General features: G+C 45.4%; 1 long non-coding RNA gene across 1 annotated transcript in view, besides 2 other annotated features; it reads right to left on the reverse strand.

The window, feature by feature from the left end:
* LINC00469 (long intergenic non-protein coding RNA 469) overlaps positions 1-20,656 on the reverse strand; it is a 79,268-nt gene that overhangs the window by 55,091 nt on the left and 3,521 nt on the right. The window contains exon 2 of the long non-coding RNA NR_027146.1: positions 19,328-19,465. This is a non-coding gene — a long non-coding RNA (long intergenic non-protein coding RNA 469). The remainder of the gene's footprint in view (positions 1-19,327; positions 19,466-20,656) is intronic.
* Positions 15,760-16,381: an enhancer, noted in NCBI's record as "H3K27ac-H3K4me1 hESC enhancer chr17:71816259-71816880 (GRCh37/hg19 assembly coordinates)". NCBI's record gives its function as "activates a minimal SCP1, AML or CMV promoter by ChIP-STARR-seq in primed H9 embryonic stem cells {active_cell/tissue: H9 hESC(primed)}" and the evidence as "EXISTENCE:reporter gene assay evidence [ECO:0000049][PMID:30033119]".
* Positions 16,573-17,149: an enhancer, noted in NCBI's record as "OCT4-NANOG hESC enhancer chr17:71817072-71817648 (GRCh37/hg19 assembly coordinates)". NCBI's record gives its function as "activates a minimal SCP1, AML or CMV promoter by ChIP-STARR-seq in naive H9 embryonic stem cells {active_cell/tissue: H9 hESC(naive)}" and the evidence as "EXISTENCE:reporter gene assay evidence [ECO:0000049][PMID:30033119]".

Raw genomic sequence — 20,656 nt, forward strand, 5'->3', positions numbered from 1 at the left:
ACCGCTGGCCTGGAATGTTAAAGGGAGATTGGTTCTGCTCTGAGCTTCCTCCCTGTCACAGCTGTGTTGTTGTTGATTGCTGATCCCCCAGCCCTTCTCCCCTGCCCTGCAGTCTTCTTGTGGAATAGGTGGCACTTGTGTACATCAAATGACACCCAAGCCCTCCCTGGCCCCTGCTGCTGACGCAGCCCCCTTGCTGAGACCTAAGGCCTTCCACGGCACCTTGGAATCAAGCTGCCCAGGCTTCCATTCTTTAGATGGGAAAGTAGACTCAGCGAAGACAGGAAGTTGCCCAGATTACCCAGCTCTTAAGCGGCAGAGCAGGAGGTAACCGGAGGCTCCTTAAAATTCAGCCCCAGGTATAGGCACTGCCCACCATGTACACGGGCTGAGTATTCTGATGTGCTCCCGGAGGAAGAAAATGCAGCCCTTGCTAGGGAGATGACTTGTAAACAGCATCATCATTCAAACTCATCATTACCATGCTCTAAGTGTGTTCAGTGCTTTACATTTCACAGAGTGCCTTCAGATATTAGTGTGTTCCAGTGTTGCTGAGCACCTACTGGGTGCCAGGTGCTGGAGACAGAGATGACAGATGATGTTTCTGTCTGCAAGGAGATCACAGCTTAGTGGGAAGACACACAAGCCGACCGACAATTATGATACCGAGTCTAAAGTGCTAGATAGAGGTGTCCTCACACACATTACCGCCTTTAATTTAATCACATAAATTTAAGTGAGTGCACATAAAAAGCTAATACTACAAGGTGTGGTCTGCTCAGTGTCAGTTGAGCAGCACAGATAGCAAAAATAGAATTGTTCCCTGTTGGGAGAGCTCACCGTTGCACACGGTGGTCAACGGTGGGTTCACTAAAAAGGCAGCTCTGATGGATAGGTAAGAATTCAAAAGGCAGCGAAAAGGGATAGGAGTTGGGAGTGATGGGGAAGAGAGCAAAGTTTCTTTTTTGCATCCAACTAGAGGGTCTGTATCTGAAATATTGATCCCTCCTTATCCCCATCCAAGAGTATTAAGGTTGTCTTTGTCATGATGAAGTTAGAGCAGTGTAGTGAACATGCAGGCCCCTATGCTGGGCATTGAAGATGCCCCAGAACAATGATGAGGGCTTAAGATCTAGGAGTCTTTTTCCTCATTGCACACAGGGCATCATCATAACAGATTGTGATGAATGTAGGGGAGTGGACAGAATCAGGTAGACCTCATTCCTTGGACTTGTGCGTGCTCAGAATGAACCTGCCTGACTCATGTTCCTCAGCCAAAGAGTCCTGATCAACCAGGAGATGTGTCCCATGTACTGAGATGTAGGACGTGAAGGAGCCACAAATATGAGAACGGTGGAATCAAGGGTTCTTCCTTACACATGTCAAGCCTGAGATGACTGCTAGATAACAACATGGAGCTGGATGGATTTTGACAACAGTTTTGGAGTTCAAGAACAATATAGGCTGGTGATGGGATAATTTGGGTGTCCTTGGCATCTGGATGGGATATAAGATCATAAGATAGGAGGAGAATACCTGGAGAGAGAGAAACAGAGAAAGAGATCAGGTGCACATAGGTTGCACTCTGGTGGGGGCAGATGCCAGCCAAAGAGAAGGAGGTGGGAGGAAAGACAAAGGAACATATTGCCCTTCAGGTGAAGAGAGAGATGGTCCAGGAGAGAGTGGTACATGAGGTAGAATTCTGCAGAAAAACCAAATAAAATGAGGATTGAAAAGTGGCTCCTCAATTTGTCAACATGGATGGCCCTGGCTTGGATGGAAAATTTAGAAACCAGTAGGAGTGGTTGGAAAGTGAAAGGCAACAGCCCTATTCAAATAAACTCTGACCCTTACCTCACACCACACACGGTGAAATTGGCACCAAGAAGATTGTATCTTGTAGTGTTAGCAATCACTTGCATTTATATGATTAAATTAAAGGAAGTGGTGCATGTATGCACATCTCTATCTAGTGCTTTTCATACCATATTATAATTGTCAATCAGTTTGTGTATTTCCCACACTAAGTCATGAGCTCCTTGCAGAGAGAGTCAGAATCTGTCATCTTTTTATCTCCAGTGTAACTTACAATGGATCAGAGACATAAAATCTAAAACTGTAAAACTTCTGGAATAAAACATACAAAAACATTTTGTAAACTTAGGATAGGCAAAAATTTCTTAGGACACAAAAAACATGAAAAAAATTGATAAGTTATACTTTACAGAAATGTAGAAATTCTGCTATTCGAAAACACATTAATAAAATGAAAAGGCAAGCCACAAACTGTGAGAAAATATTTATAACATGCATATCTCACAAAAGAATTGTACCCAGACATATAAAGAATTCTTATAACTCAATAATATGACAAACGATTCAATGGGAAGAAAAAGGAAAATATTTAAACAAACACTTAACCAAAAAAAAGAAACACATGACAAGATTCTCAACACTATTAGTCATTAGATGTCTTAGTTCATATGGGCTGCTATAAGAGAATTCCATAGACTGGATGGCTTGTAAAAAACAGAAATGTATTTCTCATTGTTCTAGAGGTTGTGAAGTCCAAGATCAAAGCACTGGCAGATTTGGTGTTTGTTGAGGGCTCACTGCCTGGTCCCAGAGGGCCATCTTCTAGCTGTGTCTTCATATGGTGGTAGGAACAAGGGCACTAATCTTATTCATGGGCACTACCCACCCAAATCACCTCCCAAAGGCCCCACCTCCTAGTACCATCTTGGTGATTAGGTTTCGCCATATGAATTCACAAATATTCAGTCTATAGCATCAGGGGAAATGTAACTTAAAACCACAACGAGGTACTACATTACATACCTATCAGGGTAAAATAAAAAATACTATCCATACCAAGAGTTCGTGAGAAGAAGGGGCAACTTGAACTCTCACGTATTGATGGTGGCAATGTAAAGTGGTCCAATCACTTTGGGAAACAATCTGGGAGTTTCTTATAAAGCTAAGTATATACTTCACATATGACCCAACAATTCTACTTCTACATATTTACCCAAGAGAAGTGAAAATGTGTGTTCAAGCACTTGTATGCTAATGTTCATAGTGTGCTGTATTCAGGAAACCCATCTCACCTGCAGAGACACACATAGACTCAAAATAAAGGGATGGAGGAAGATCTACCAAGCAAATGGAAAACAAAAAAAGGCAGGGGTTGCAATCCTAGTCTCTAATAAAACAGACTTTAAACCAACAAAGATCAAAAGAGACAAAGAAGGCCATTACATAATGGTAAAGGGATCCATTCAACAAGAAGAGCTAACTATCCTAAATGTATATGCACCCAATACAGGAGCACCCAGATTCATAAAGCAAGTCCTTAGTGACCTACAAAGAGACTTAGACTCCCACACAATAATAATGGGAGACTTTAACACCCCACTGTCAACATTAGACAGATCAACGAGATAGAAAGTTAACAAGGATACCCAGGAATTGAACTCAGCTTTGCACCAAGCAGACCTAATAGACATCTACAGAACTCTCCACCCCAAGTCAACAGAATATACATTCTTTTCAGCACCACACCACACCTACTCCAAAATTGACCACATAGTTGGAAGTAAAGCACTCCTCAACAAATGTAAAAGAACAGAAATTATAACAAACTGTCTCTCAGACCACAGTGCAATCAAATTAGAACTCAGGATTAAGAAACTCACTCAAAACTGCTCAACTACATGGAAACTGAACAACCTGCTCCTGAGTGACTACTGGGTAAATAATGAAATGAAGGCAGAAATAAAGATGTTCTTTGAAACCAATAAGAACAAAGACACAACATACCAGAATCTCTGGGACACATTCAAAGCAGTGTGTAGAGGGAAATTTATAGCACTAAATGCCCACAAGAGAAAGCAGGAAAGATCTAAAATTGACACCCTAACATCACAATTAAAAGAACTAGAAAAGCAAGAGCAAACACACTCAAAACTAGCAGAAGGCAAGAAATAACTAAGATCAGAGCAGAACTGAAGGAAATAGAGACACAAAAAACCCTTCAAAAAATTGATGAATCCAGGAGCTGGTTTTTTGAAAAGATCAACAAAATTGATAGACCACTAGCAAGACTAATAAAGAAGAAAAGAGAGAAGAATCAAATAGACGCAATAAAAAATGATAAAGGGGATATCACCACCGATCCCACAGAAATACAAACTACCATCAGAGAATACTATAAACACCTCTATGCAAATAAACTAGAAAATCTAGAAGAAATGGATAAATTCCTCGACACATACATCCTCCCAAGACTAAACCAGGAAGAAGTTGAATCTCTGAATAGACCAATAACAGGCTCTGAAATTGAGGCAATAATCAATAGCTTACCAACCAAAAAGAGTCCAGGACCAGATGGATTCACAGCCAAATTCTACCAGAGGTAGAAAGAGGAGCTGGTACTATTCCTTCTGAAACTATTCCAATCAATAGAAAAAGAGGGAATCCTCCCTAACTCATTTTATGAGACCAGCATCATCCTGATACCAAAGCCTGGCAGGGACACAACCAAAAAGGAGAATTTTAGACCAATATCCCTGATGAACATCAATGCAAAAATCCTCAATAAAATACTGGCAAAGCGAATCCAGCAGCACATCAAAAAGTTTATCCACCATGATCAAGTGGGCTTCATCCCTGGGATGCAAGCCTGGTTCAACATATGCAAATCAATAAATGTAACCCAGCATATAAACAGAACAAAAGACAAAAACCACATGATTATCTCAATAGATGCAGAAAAGGCCTTTGACAAAATTCAACAACCCTTCATGCTAAAAACTCTCAATAAATTCGGTATTGATGGGACGTATCTCAAAATAATAAGAGCTATCTATGACAAACCCACAGCCAATATCATACTGAATGGGCAAAAACTGGAAGCATTCCCTTTGAAAATGGGCACAAGACAGGGATGCCCTCTCTCACCACTGCTATTCAACATAGTGTTGGAAGTTCTGGCCAGGGCAATCAGGCAGGAGAAGGAAATAAAGGGTATTCAATTAGGAAAAGAGGAAGTCAAATGGTCCCTGTTTGCAGATGACATGATTGTATATCTAGAAAAATCCATCGTCTCAGGCCAAAATCTCCTCAAGCTGATAAGCAACTTCAGCAAAGTCTCAGGATACAAAATCAATGTACAAAAGTCACAAGCATTCTTATACACCAATAACAGACAAACAGAGAGCCAAATCATGAGTGAACTCCCATTCACAATTGCTTCAAAGAGAATAAAATACCTAGGAATCCAACTTACAAGGGATGTGAAGGACCTCTTCAAGGAGAACTACAAAACACTGCTCAATGAAATAAAAGAGGATACAAAGAAATGGAAGAACATTCCATGCTCATGGGTAGGAAGAATCAACATCATGAAAATGGCCATACTGCCCAAGGTAATTTATAGATTCAATGCCATCCCCATCAAGCTACCAATGACTTTCTTCACAGAATTGGAAAAAACTACTTTAAAGTTCATATGGAACCAAAAAAGAGCCTGCATCGCCAAGTCAATCCTAAGCCAAAAGAACAAAGCTGGAGGCATCACACTACCTGACTTCAAGCTATACTACAAGGCTACAGTAACCAAAACAGCATGGTACTGGTACCAAAACAGAGATATAGACCAATGGAACAGAACAGAGACCTCAGAAATAATGCCGCCTATCTACAACTATCTGATCTTTGACAAACCTGAGAAAAACATGCAATGGGGAAAGGATTCCCTATTTAATAAATAGTGCTGGGAAAACTGGCTAGCCATATGTAGAAAGCTGAAACTGGATCCCTTCCTTACACCTTATACAAAAATTAATTCAAGATGGATTAAAGACTTAAATGTTAGACCTAAAACCATGAAAACCCTAGAAGAAAACCTAGGCAATACCATTCAGGACATAGGCATGGGCAAGGACTTCATGTCTAAAACACCAAAAGCAATGGCAACAAAAGCCAAAATTGACAAATGAGATCTAATTAAACTAAAGAGCTTCTGCACAGCAAAAGAAACTACCATCAGACTAAACAGGCAACCTACAGTATGGGAGAAAATTTTTGCAATCTACTCATCTGACAAAGGGCTAATATCCAGAATCTACAATGAGCTCAAACAAATTTGCAAGAAAAAAACAAACAACCCCATCAAAAAGTGGGTGAAGGATATGAACAGACACTTCTCAAAAGAAGACATTTATGCAGCCAAAAAACACATGAAAAAATGCTCATCATCACTGGCCATCAGAGAAATGCAAATCAAAACCACAGTGAGATACCATCTCACACCAGTTAGAATGGTGATCATTAAAAAGTCAGGAAACAACAGGTGCTGGAGAGGATGTGGAGAAATAGGAACACTTTTACACTGTTGGTGGGACTGTAAACTAGTTCAACCATTGTGGAAGTCAGTGTGGCGATTCCTCAGTGATCTAGAACTAGAAATACCATTTGACCCAGCCATCCCATTACTGGGTATATACCCAAAGGATTATAAATCATGCTGCTATAAAGACACATGTACACGTATGTTTATAGCGGCACTATTCACAATAGCAAAGACTCAGAACCAACCTAAATGTCCAACAACGATAGTCTGGATTAAGAAAATGTGGCACATATACACCATGGAATACTATGCAGCCATAAAAAAGGATGAGTTCATGTCCTTTGTAGGGACACGGATGAAACTGGAAACCATCATTCTCAGCAAACTATCGCAAGGACAAAAAACCAAACACCGCATGTTCTCACTCATAGGTGGGAATTGAACAATGAGAACACATGGACACAGGAAGGGGAACATCACAGACCGGGGACTGTTGTGGGGTGGGGGGAGGGGGGAGGGATAGCATTAAGAGATATACCTAATGCTAAATGACGAGTTAATGGGTGCAGCACACCAACATGGCACATGTATACATATGTAACAAAACTGCACGTTGTGCACATGTACCCTAAAACTTAAAGTATAATAATAATAAAATTTAAAAAAAAAGAATTTTATTTTTAAAAGCCTCAAACTAGGAACCCAGATGTCTACCAACAGGAGAATGCGTAAACAAATTGTGGCATACTCATACAGTGGAACTCCACTCAGCAATAAAAGAGGATGAATTACTGATATGTGCAACAATGACATGAACCTCAAAAATATTATGCTGAGTGAAAGATACCAGACACCGAAGAGTACATACTGTATGATTCCGTTTATATGAAATTCTAAAAAAGGTAAAACTATCTGTGCTGATGGACAGCAGATCGAAGGTTGCCAGGGCTGCTGAGGGGAGTGGGGATTGGCTATAAATAGCCATGAGGACACTTTGTGTGCTTCTGCATCTTTATTGGCATTGGCGTTAGATGAATGTATATATTTGTCAAAATTGATCAAACTGAGTACATTTTGTTGTATGTAAATTGTATCTCAATAAGTTTAGTTCTTAAAAAAATGGGTCCACCCTATAGTACAATACCTTATGCTTTCCAAATGCATGAAAATACATGCACTCCCATATATATATGTGAGTGCGTAGAAACATCCAGAAGGATAGAAACCAAAATGACTGTATTATTTGCCTCTGGATAGAGATGGGGAAGAGGACTCAGAGAAAGGTAAGGGGCCAATGGGCCTTTTGCCTTAATTATATTGCTTTAATTTTTTAAAAGGACAATGGTGTTCATGTATTGCCTTGTACGTAGATTTTTGAAACAGGTGCACAGCAGATGTAAACAGAGGCTATTCCACTGTGAAACCTCAACTGAAAGTCTTTTACCTGTTTGGACTAGCCATTTCGTTCAATTATTTATTGAGCATCTATGTTTCTAGCAACACAACGATGAGACAAGATTCTTCCTGTCTCTGCTCTGAGTCTTCCTTCAGCTCACTCTAAAGGATCCAGAGAGCCCAAAGTTCAACACCCATCACTTACCAGCTGCGGGACCAATTTACTCAAATTTTTAAGCTTCACTTTTTCTGCTTCATAATAGCACCTGTCACATAAGGGTTCTTGAGGGATTCAATGAGTAAACAGAGGTAGAGTTTGGCAGAGGGTTTAATAAGCAAGAGCTCAGATTCGTATTTTATTATTATTATTACTACCATATTTTATTGATTCTAAGACAGTGTTTTCCTATTTTAGTATTCCAGAAATTGGGCACATTTTACAATCAATGTCATAATTTATTTGGCAGGTTTTTTTCTTTCTTGGTGTATAAAATAGTGGTGCACCTTACAGTTGGTGGTGTCTTAGATTCTATGAAATATGGTGATAGCATCTCTCTCTCTTAGCCTTCTTATGAATTCTTGTCAATATTTAACCAACATCAGAAACGGGAAAAAGCTAATCCTCCTACCAGTCTAGGGAGAAAGAAAAAGCAGGAATGATGTAATGAAACCATCATTGTTGATAACCCAACAATAAAATGTTCCACCTGGCACAGCTGTCACTTTGGGGAAGGCCCAGCCACGAGTAGCTCTTTGGGTACCACCCTCTGCCCACTTGCTGCTGTGCTACCTCCTCCCTGCATGGCCAAGTCTGGTCCCCTGCTCTTCGGCCAGGCTCTTCCATCCACCTCTTGACTTCCCGCATCTGGCTTTCCTCTACAACAATGGCAAGTATCTTTCAGTTTCTTCCTTACCCCTTGCCTCTGTTCCCTCATGCCATGGCCATCTGAAAGTTCCTGATGGGCATTCACCCATCAGGAACCTTTTTGGTGTGTCAAATGGGTAGCAAGTCACGGTAAAGTATCAAGCCACAAAAGCCAACATTGGCTAACTTGTGCAGAAGAGATTGCTTTGGAAAGAAAGCAGGGGCACTCACAGAATGGACAGGAGGGGTGGTGAACCAGTCTGGGAAAATGAACAGGAACCAAAGGAAGTCAAGCAATGAAAATAAAGTGGCCAGGGTGCCACTGCTGGTGGCCCCCACTTCCATCCGAGCCCTAGGACTCTCAGCCATGCTGCAGTAGCGACTCACCCAGCGCACCCCATAACTCTGTGTCACTCCCTCCATACAAGGCCGGCTCAGAGTGTTGAATTGATTGGCCCAGCTGTGTGTCCTCAACATATTTGTGGGGGCAGAATGGGAATGTTGGGCCCCTTTAAGCACCTTCCTTCTCCTGCCGTCCACCAGGCATCACAATGGGAAAACCTGGCCACTTAGGAAGGGAGTAGACACTTGCTGGACAGATAAACAACAGCAAATGTTCACTGAATGTGTTTTTATGAATGCTCATCTTTCCAATACTAGAGGTTGATTTAGAAGCCCAACACTCAGAAATGTTTCCTGTTTGAGCAAAATAATGTGTACACACGGACATACAGTGTGGAATAATAGACACTGGAAGCTCAGAGGGCGGGAGGGCGAAGGGGATGAGGGATGAGAAATTATTTAATGGGTACAATGTATAGTATTCAGGATGATGGTTACACTAAAAGCACAGACTTTACCACTAAGCAATATATCATGTAACAAGACTGCACTTGTACTCCCTACATTTATAAAGAAAGAAAGACAGGTTTTCTGTTTGGTATTTTGTCTGAAATTTGGGCAAGCAGAGACTTCCTTAGGCTCAGTGGGCTAAGAAGCCAAGTTAGCCCATGAGCAGGGCTAATGGAGAAATTAATCCTATGCGCCACCTCGGCACCCCCAACAGCTAACCCTTCTTACAAAGTAGAAGCTATAACATTTTATTAAAGCAAAAAAGATTCTAGAATTATGAATTACTGTCACTAGTGGTAGTCAATTAAAGCAATATTTAAAGAAATAAAGATACCTGTGTACTTTTTAAACGAATGCTTGACTCATCACCAGTTAAAGCTAGTGGTTCTCAGAAAGGCAGAGTCAACCAGAACGTGTCAGAAATGCAAATTCTCGGGCCCCTCCGGAAACCTGCTGCATCTTCAGTCACTCTAGGGTGGAGCCCAGCAGTTGCTTTAACAAGTCCTCCACGTGAATTTGATTCATGCTGATGTCGAGAACTGCTGGTTTAATCTTAACCTTGGCTACACGTGAGAATCACCTGGGGAGCTTTTAAAATATTCAATGCTGAGGCCCCACCCTAAACCAATTACATCTGCCTGGTAAGGGAAGGGGCTTGAAACAAAAAGCTTCCTAGGTGGCTCGAATGTGCAGACAGGGTTAAGGGACTCAGATATAACCTGTGGTTATACAGAACATGTCTGTAACTCATGCGAACTTCTCACCACCCTTTGAGAGTAGGTTATTGTCTCTACTACCTTGAGATTTTGGAAATTGTCACTTTCCTGTTAAACTATTCATCTCAGTAAAGAAAAACTCACCCCTTCCTGGTAGTCTCCATCCAGGGACAACAGTGGCTATCATCAATAGCACAGCCCTGGGGAACCTCCTTTCCAGTGCAGAATTCATCTTTTCGTTCTCTAAAGAAGGTTTTTCACGGCCCACCTTGCTAACATGCTCTCTCCACCACCCACCCAAATCGGTGGGCATCAGAAGACATCAGTGTTGCTTAGGTGAAAAGCAGCTGTTACTGTTTCAAACAAGATTTGGGAAGGGGAAGGAAGGGATAGAGAGCGATTTGACAAAGGATACAAAATTACAGGTAGATAGGAGGAGTAAGTTCTAGTGTTCTAGAGCAGTGGTCACCAGCCTTTTTGGCACCAGGGACGGGTTTCATGGAAGATAATTTTTCCACGGACTGGAGTGGGGATGGGGATGGTTTTGGGATGATTCAAGGCATTACATTTACCATTAGATTCTTCTAAGGAGCGCGCAAACTGGATCCTTCACATGCGCAGTTCACAGTAGGGTTTGTGCTCCTATGAGAATCTAACACCACTGCTGATCTGACAGGAGGCAGAGTTCAGGCGGTAATGCTCGCTTGTCCACCACCCATCTCCTGTGGGCGGCCTGGTCCTAACAGGCCATGGACCACTGAGACCCCTGTTCTACAGCACCATAGGATGACTACAGTTAACAATAATATATAGTTTCAAATAGCTAGAAGGAGAATATTGAATGTTCCCAACACAAACATAATAAAATTTTGAGATGATGGATATGCTAATTACCCTGATATGATCACCATACATTATATGTATCAAAACATCACTATGTACCCCATGAATATGTCCAATTACTTGTCAATTAAAAAGATAAAATAAATTGGCTTTTTAAAAAATAAATCAGGATTCTTCCCCATCTCTCAGTTCAGGTTTACGTTTGCCTCTCGGCTTCCTGTTCTTCTCTTGCAAATGAGCTCTTTTCACCTGCTGGGGAATACGGCCATGAGGATCACATCACATTCCAGAAGACCCAAAAGAAAAGAGGCTGTCTCACCCAAGCCTCAGTATGGAAAATCTCAGAAAAGGCTTCTGACAGCTTAGCTGGGCCTCTTGGATACAGAGCTAGGTCGAGGTCACTCAGATCCTAGAGCCAGGGAGTGAGGTCCGTGACCAGCAGTGATCCAGTTTTCATATGTGGGTCAATACATATGTTTTCTTTTCTTTTCCTTTTTTTTTTGAGACGGAGTCTCACTCTGTCACCCAGGCTGGAGTGCAGTGGCGTGATCTCGGCTCACTGCAAGCTCCGCCTCCTGGGTTCACACCACTCTCCTGCCTCAGCCTCCCGAGTAGCTGGGACTACAGGCGCCCACAACCACGCCTGGCTAATTTTTTGTATTTTTAGTAGAGACAGGGTTTCACCGTGTTAGCCAGGGTGGTCTCGATCTCCTGACCTCGTGATCTGCCCACCTCGGCCTCCCAAAGTGCTGGGATTACAGGCGTGAGCCACCTTGCCCGGCCGCATTTTCTTTTCTTTTTTAGGGATGGGGTCTCACTATGTTGCCCAGGCTGGAGTGCAGTGGCTATTCACAAGAACGAAAATACATATGTTTTCTGATACAGACTCCCCTCTTTATAAGGGTCGAATGAATCAGAGAATAGCTTTAATATCAACACATAAAAGTAACATTCAAGAAGTACATTTTAATAGGACAATGAATATTTTCATCAATCATTATAGCACATTCAATCCAGAGAAGGCAACCAGAATGGAGAGGGGCTCAGTTTGGAGAATTGTTGGAAACCAGGGTATTTAACCCAGAACAGAACAAAAGGCAGGGCCTGCTGCTTCTTGTTCCTATGCAGAGAGTTACTGGGTTATCTCATTCCACACGGCTTCACAGGCAGAATTATTCCCTAACTGGCAAGAGGATAAAGTCCTAACTCCTTATCATGGAGTCCAAACTATATCTACTTTCCAGAGTCCTTTCTAACCTCGTCTCTGCATTCTGAAGGATGCCAGCATCAATGAAAAACAGCATCAGGCCAGACACAGTGGCTCACGCTTATAATCCCAAACCTTTGGGGAACTGAGGCAGGAACATCACTTGAGCCTAGGAGTTTAAGACCAGCCTGGGCAACACGAGGGCAACATACAGACCCAGCCTCTACAAAAAAATTTTACAGATCAGCTGGGCATGGTGGCATAGCACCTGTGGTCCCAACTACTCAGGAGGCCGAGGTGGGAGAGTTACTTGAGCCTGGGAGGTTGAGGCAAGGATCGCACCACTGCATTCCAGCCTGGGTGACAGAGTGAGACCATGTCTCGAACAAAAAAACAAAAAAACAAAGAGGAAAAAAAAGTACCAGATACTTTTTAAACGGCACTTGTTAAAAATCAGGGGCTGGGGTCACCTTTAAGAACACGGCCTAGTACAGATGGAAGCCAAGCTGAAGACAATCAAGTTTCTTGGCACAGTCTTGGCAAGGCCCTTGTGCCATGCACTTCATAGTTCCTTTTTTTTTAAAGCAATTCCCCTGCCTCAGCCTCCCGGGTACCTGCAATTACAGGCATGCACCACCACACCTGGCTAACTTTTTATATTTTTGGTAGAGACAGGGTTTCACCATGTTGGCCAGGCTGGTCTCAAACTCCTGACCTCAAGTGATCTGCCCACCTCGGCCTCCCAAAGTGCTGGGATTATAGGTGTGAGCCACTGTGCCCGGCCAGGAATTCATAGTTCAAACTAGGCACAACCAAAGAGGGGCACCAGGGGAGAGGAGGAGAGGGCCCAGGTTTGTCATCTTTCCTGAGATGCCCCTAATATCTAACGTTGTGCTTGGTATTCATATTTGTTGAGTGGGCAAATGAATGCATGCATGCGAGAGACCACAGAACACCGTGGCCTCTCATTGCACTCGTGGGCCTTCCTGCCGGAGGCTAGATTCAAACAGTCTGGGCAAATGGGCCCAAGTGTTGACAGTGGGCCTACACAGTGGTTAAATGCAGCCAGAAGACATTGTGGCAAGAACATAAGTTAGAAGGTTTCAGTCCTTGCTGCGCCCTACATGTGCAACTGTGGACAAATTGATCATCCTCACTAAGCTCGTGTTTTTTTCAGCTCGAAAGTGAGAATAATAATAATGTTTAGCGATTTGGGCTGAAGGAGGAATAAATGAGATTCCACATACCGGTACCTAGTTAGTCTTCCACATGGTAAGATGCTTAAGAAAACTTACTTCCTCTTTACCCAAATGGTTGTAATAATTTTATTCTGTTATGTTCCCCAAATATGAGTTAATGGCCACATGTTTTGGAAGGCAGAGAGAATGTCTCAGTTGCACAATGTCCATTATAACTAAAAACTCAGTAAAGGTTCTACTTTCTGATGACGAGGATTTTTGAGGTTTCTCTGGTCCTTGTGGTTGCCTTAGATATCTGTCTTTCTTAATCTAAACACACAGGGCAGAGCTTTCTCCAAGAGAGACCCATGTGTCCGCTACATCAGGATCACCTGAATATCAGAACGAAGCTGCTTTGCTTGCCATTCAGATGGTCCTCAGAGCCACTCCAGACCCACCAAGTCAGAGTTCCTGGGAGTGGAGCCTGGAAATCTGAACTTGAACTACCACCCTCAACTGATTCCTGTGCACACTAAATTTGGGGTTGAAAAATGTTTTCAACTGGAGCAAGAGTGTGCTTCCTCACCACCAGCCTAAAAGTGTACACAGACCCCACAGCCATGCACCTCCCCTAAGGCCCCAGAATCAAAGGTCACCTATAACGCTCCATTTCTGAACAGTGGGAAGAATCAAATAAGAGGGCCCATCCTCCAAACACAGAACTACCGAAAGGCTGTTGTATCTTTTTGAGGCCACTCCTATCACATATCACCCCTCAATCGATCCTCTTCTCCCTTGGGCCTACCTCCCCTTAACTTTTGTAGCCTCCATTTCCCCACTTGCTGAAAGGTGATAAACACCAGGTTTTGATCTATGGTTAACCTTCTTGTCCAAAGTCTCGAACAAGCACATTCTGCATGGTTGTTGACCACTCCACTTGCCAGGTAACAGGTGCTCCTGAAAAGCTAGTCTCCTTCCCTCCTCATAACACTGCAGTGAGGGTGGGATGGGGTGATGCTGGTAGATTCTTGCCATTCAATTATGGCATTTGACTAAGGGGACTGTTAAAAATGCAAAACCTGCTAGGTGCAGAGTCTCATGCCTGTAATCCTAGTATTATGGGATCTTTAGGGTATTGCTTTTCTGGCCAGAAACGTCTGTGGCCGGTGGTGCCTTTGCCTGAGTTCTTGTCCCGTGTCCAGAAAGAAAGAGGTACACAGATGAGTGGAAGGTGAGCAAGATGAAGAGGAGATTTATTGCGTGTTACAACAGCTCAGAGGAGACCCGCAGTGGGTAGCTCCTCTCTGTCAGCAGGGTGTCCCATTGAGTGTTCGGCTCTCAGCAGAGAGGAGGCCCTGGAGAGGGTAGCTCCTCTCTGCAACTGGTTGTCCTGATGTCTGCAGCTCTCAGTAGAGAGGGTAGCTCCTCTCTGCAGCTGGTCATCCCATTGTCTCTCTGTCCTCTGGCTCCTCTGGCTGAGCCCAGGGCTTGTTTGGGCCTCAGAGGGGGGAAGTGTGTGTGGATTGGTCCATGGGCAGCCATGGGCAGGCCCAGGAGAAAGCACTGTAATTCCCCTTCTGCTCTGTAGGACTGGCAGCCTGGCCCCCAGGCTTCAGGCCTGCTCTGTCCTGAAGGTAGGGCTTCACTGGGGACCCACCCCTTTCCACCCAGAAGTCTGTCTGCCTCCCTCGGCCATCCATGGTGCCCAGGCTATTGGCACCAAGGGGCACCTGCAGGCCAGCACCCAGCCACCTTCAGCCCCCCTTCAACTTCCCCCACCCCACGCTCCTTGGTGCCCAAAGTTTGGAGGGGGCTGACGCAGCAGGGGGCTGGCATGTCAGCACCACCCCAAGCCTGTGTATACCTGGCCGGGCTGTGACAACACCCAGGCTTGGCCCCAAACCCTGCTCCAAGATCAGAGCAGGAGCCTGGAGTGGGGAGAGCCGGGCAGTGGGAGCAGGAACCTCCAAGCCTGCAAGGGCAAGGGGGGCCTTCCCAGGCTCCCCAAGAGTGCAGGGATGCCTGGGTCTGCAACCCTGGTTTGTGTGACTGCAGCTGTGCTCAGGGCCATGGGGCTCCTGCCTGCTCCATGGAGTTCGAGGCCCAGATCCACAGCTATGACTTGGGCAGCTACAGCCCTGCCCAGGGAGGTGGGACTCCTGCCTACTCCCGGCTCCCAAGAGCACAGGGGTGCCTGAGTTACAGCTGTGGCTTGGGTGGCTGCAGTTTGCACCTTGGGAGCTCCTGCCCCACCAACTTGGAAGGGGCAGGGATCCCACTTGTCCCCAGCTCCCACCAGCTCTGTGGAGCATGGCACTGGGCTGTGACCCCTTGCAGCCTGGGCTGGGGGCTCCAGGTCCTCACTGGGTCTGGGTCATCATCCGGGCAGGAGTGACATTGCTGCGAACGCCCGCTGTGGCCCTGACGCTCGGGGGCAGCCGGGAGCTCTCCCTCCCCCAGCACACAACCCGGCCTGGCCCCATCGCAGAGGTCCCAGGGTGGCGGGCTGCTGGGCAGGGCTGTTTGCCTCCTCCCTGTGTCCTCCCTGCAGCGGCCAGTGTGATGGCAGCTAGTAGCTGCACCAGATGGCCTGCTACTGCCATCACTAAGAATTTGGGAGGCCGAAGAGGGCAAATCACTTGAGCCCAGGAGTTCAAGACCAGCCTGGGCAACATGATGAAACCCCATCTGTACAAAAATATACAAAAAATTAGGTGGGCATGGTGGCACACAGCTGTAGTCACAGCTACTTGGGAGCTCGCCTGAGCTTAGGAGGTTGAGGCTGCAGTGAGCCGTGACTGCACCACTGCACTCCAGCCTGGGTGATAGAGCAAGGCTCTTGCTAAAAACAAAAATGATAAAACAACAATTGCAAAACCCAGGCTACCATAGACGTACTGATTCAGAATCTGAATCTAACAAGGTGCCCAGGTGACCTCTTAGTATGTGAGAGTCTGAGAAAGCGTGGCTTGCTGCCCAACTAACAGCTCTTTCTGCCCACTCCCTCGCTGACAGCTTGTAAAACAAGTGCTATTTCAGGAAGGAATAACCCGCTTAGGTCTTTAGGGACTCTGGAAGGAGTTGTAAGGTGAGACTATAATCAAGGAAAGTTCTAAGAATTATGGGCTTCAACCACATAGAGACAGGTTTAACCTCATCACGGCGGGTGCCTTGGACAGCCTTCCTCCACTGCCTCTTAACACAGTTCGTACTTTTGAAGACCCAGGGATGCTGGAGCTCACCAGCATTACACCCACTCATTTTGATATTAGGGTTGTGGTGAGTCATCAAATCAGCCGGAACCAATTAAGACTGAACCGTTAAGATCCCTGCTGGCATCACCGCACATGGTCCTGGAAACAGAGGGACTGATCCAGTGAAACCCCACGTGGGGCAGCAGCCCATTGATGGGACACAGGATGTTTCCACAATGCTCCTTAAGTCAGCAGGGTACCCCCATTAACATATGGCCGCTTCCAATGCCCAGCCTGCAGGTGGCGGCCATTCTATTTCCATTTACACCGCAGCAGCGTCCTAACTGCTGCTTTGCTGAATTAGCCCTGCAGGGCTCAAAGGAAGCGCTTCGCAGAGCTCCCGTTCAGATTAACGTGTAAAATTTAATTACGGAGGCCTGGGCTATCGCAAGGTTTAAAGCCATTTACTAAGCCTGGGAGCTACAGAGTCCTCCCTGAGACTCCTGTGTCTAGGGAGGCCCAAGCAGCCCTTTGATCATTAAGGGCTGAGAATATCTCAGCTTGCATATTAGGGTCAGGAAATTATCTTTCCACTTTCCCTACTAAATGGACAAAGTATTCATCTTGGGGCGAAAGAGCAATTCTGAAACTCCAAGAGAAAGCAAGGACTTCCAGAAGCCATTGGTCCAGGTCCCCATCTCTAAGTGGCTTGATAGCTAAATCCAATAACCAGATAAAAATAAAAAGTACAAGGGAGGCAAAGTCCCTGTCCCCTAGGAACTCAAAGATGAATAGAGCAATAGTCACAAGACACATAGATAAGTAAATGCAGTACAGTGAGTGAGTCAATAGAATAAGAAGATTCACTCAGCCCTTGGGAATATTCCAGGAAGGCTTCCCAGAGGAGGTGGCTCATCCTCAGGGTTTTGAAGAATAAAAAGGAGTTATTTTTACAAATAAAGGAGTGAGTGGCTGTGGGGAAGGACATTTCAGGCAGAAGAGTTCTGCTAGCTCTAGAATTTATAGGAGCAAAACTTCTTCAGTCCAGCGTACGTGTCTGGAAGATTCTCTGCTGCTCAGCTCTATATGGAGTTGGACAACTGGTCGGCATCTGTTCCCTAAAAACTTTAGATTGTCACCTCCTCAAGGGCATAGCTATGCCTCCTAGATTCCCAGCAGTATCAGAAGGAGACGCTGAGCTCGTAAGAGAATTTTAGTGCAGTGCTGGAGCCCTTAACACCCAATTCCCAGGCCCCCACCCTGCATGAACCAACTCTTGTCCAGGTTTCAAACTTGGACACACAATTCCCTTAATGCACAATTCTCAGGCCCCTCCCCTGCATGAGCCAACCCTTGCCCAGGTTTCAAACTTCAATTCCTTTTACCTATAGCGAAGTATGATTTTTTTCTCCATCACTTTATACCAAATAGAATGAAGAAAGTGAGGCAGGATGAGTGGATTTACGGCCTCAAATGAATTTCAAGATGAATAAGAACAGTCGCAATTAAAATCAAATTTCTGAGACAGGATTTGATCTCTTTCAAGGAGAGAGCGGGCCTGGCCTTGCCCACAGCCACAGATGCCCCTTAATGGGGTTTGAGATGCTAGGATGTGGGACTCGGGAGGAAACACCTGGGGAACGCCGCACCTTTGAAGCTCATTTTGTCAAGGTTCTTTCACGGCGGTATCACCGGAGACCAAATACCATTTTTAATTACTCACGAAAGCACGAGATGGTTGCCTCTTCTCAGGCACACTCCTCGCTCTTCACTTCAATCCTTTTTTTTTCTTTCTTTGAGACGGAGTCACTCTGTCGTCCAGGCTGGAGTGCAGTCGCGCCATCCCGGCTCACTGCAACCTCCGCCTCCCAGGTTCAAGTGATTCTCCTGCCTCAGCCTCCCAAGTAGCTGGGATTATAGGCACGCGCCACCACGCGCTGCTAATTTTGTATTTTTGATGGAGACGGGGTTTCACTATCTTAGCCAGGCTTGTCTCGAACTCCCGATCTCAGGTGATCTGCCTGCCTCAGCCTCCCAAAGTGCTGGGATTACAGGTGTGAGCCACTGCGCCTGGCTCTTCACTTCAGTCTTATCTTCAGGCTGTCTCTGTCTCCTTGGCTGGGGGAAAGACGCCAGTCAGCTATTTTTTCTGTGGCCCAGGTGAGGATAAATGAGGGCTCCAGGGGGTCAGGGATTTGCTCAGAGTTGGTTAGAAAAAAGCTTAATAGCTGCTGATACTGAGCACCTGCCAGGGGCTTGACACACTTTTTCTTTCATCTCGTGACTCCCGAGGTAGGTATGGTTAGTTTTATTTTGTGGGTGAGAAAACAGGCTCAGAAAGGTTATGAAACTGGCTCAGGGTCACATAGCGGGTGGCTGAAATTTAAATCTGGGTCTTCTGACCCAAAGCCTGGTGGTTTCCCATCTGCCCTCTTGATGCAGGAGTCCAAAGAGGAGGCCAGGGGGCATGCTCAGAAGCTGCGAAGGGGAGCTAGACCTGCCTCCATCAAGGAGTCCAGGTGTCTGGGATCCACCTGTCTACCTCCCTCCCAACCTTATGGAATATTCCTCAGAGTCTCCCCCTACCCAAATTTGGTAGGGTTTCTCTTCGTTCAGAAGCTCTGGCCTTCTTCTTCAGCTATTTCCTTATTTTGGTGGTGTCTGAGTGAACCCAGGACAAGACCTGCCAAGGAATTTTCTATGTCAGTCTGAAAGAAAAGCTCACCTCCTCCATCGCTTGCAGCAGGGGTTCCAGCTGGAGTCTGCAAAGCCAGGGCGATTCTCCCTTCCCCATAAGGGACATCTGGATATGTCTGGACACATTTCTGATTGTCACATCTGGGAGGGTGGGTGCTGATGACGTCTGGTGGGTAAATGCCAGGAGTGGTGTTAAACATCCGGCAAGGCCCGGGACAGCCCCCGCCACAAAGAATAATTCAGCTCAAAGTGTCACCACTGCTGTGGTTGAGAAACCTGCTGTGAAAAATGCCAGGAGGGAGGAGAAAGGAGCCCCTTAACTTCAGTGCCTTATGTCCATGGGACACTGACACCCCCAGGCAGAAGCAGCCACTTCACTTGGCAGGGCGGCACAAAATGAAAATGTTGCAATTCTTGTGAAAAATGATTTAAAATTTCAAGACAGCAACAGCAGACCATTAAACAAGGGCCTGTGGGACTGGCCAGGACACCCACCTAGGAAGCTGGAAAGAGCTCTCTGCTGGTCCCTGGGATCCCCTGGGTGCCCTGTCCTCAGCTCTCAGGCTTGTAGTCACACGACTCCTCCAAAGAGTTCAGGCCAGAACACTGAGACGGCAGTGCCTGCTGAGAATCTGAAGTGGCAGACTCACCTTTCCTTTATGGAGGAAAAAATCTCACTTTTGACTGTCAGGGAATGAAGGGACAGGACTCAGAGGACTGTCTAGGAGGTCCTGAGTCCTCCCCCGTCCTACTGCTTCTTGGGAGGGTCAATATGCCACGAGGGTTTTCAAGCACAAAGTAATTAAGAGGAGGAGCAGAAAGCTTCCAGTCTCCAAGCTGGTAGCCCCCAGGGCTGAATCTGTGGTTTTCTGTTTGCTGTGACACTTCATCTGTAGAGGGCCGCTCTGGGAAAGAGCGGTGCATACTGGGCTCCATCTGAGGAACAGATCCTGGAAATGACCTTCTCTCCTTGTCTCTCCCTGTCTCTCCCACACCCCCTCAATAAGCAGCCTCCTGCCATTTATTTCAATGATATTGCTTTTGTTTTGTTTCATTTTTCTTAAGCATTTTATTTTTATTTTTATTTTTGAGAGGGAGTCTTCCTCCGTCACCCAGGCTGGAGTGCAGTGGCATGATTTTGGCTCACTGCAACTCTGCCTCCCAGGTTCAAGCGATTCTCCTGCCTCAGCCTCTGGAGCAGCTGAGATTACAGGCACACACCACCACACCTGGATAATTTTTGTATTTTAGTAGAGACCCGTTTTTGTCATGTTGGCCAGGCTGGTCTCGAACTCCTGGCTTTAAGTGATCTGCCCGCCTCGGCCTCCCAAAGTGCTGGGATTACAGGCGTGAGCCA

The sequence above is a fragment of the Homo sapiens genome, chromosome 17, assembly GCF_000001405.40.
Source record: "Homo sapiens chromosome 17, GRCh38.p14 Primary Assembly".
Taxonomy (NCBI): Eukaryota; Metazoa; Chordata; class Mammalia; order Primates; family Hominidae; genus Homo; species Homo sapiens.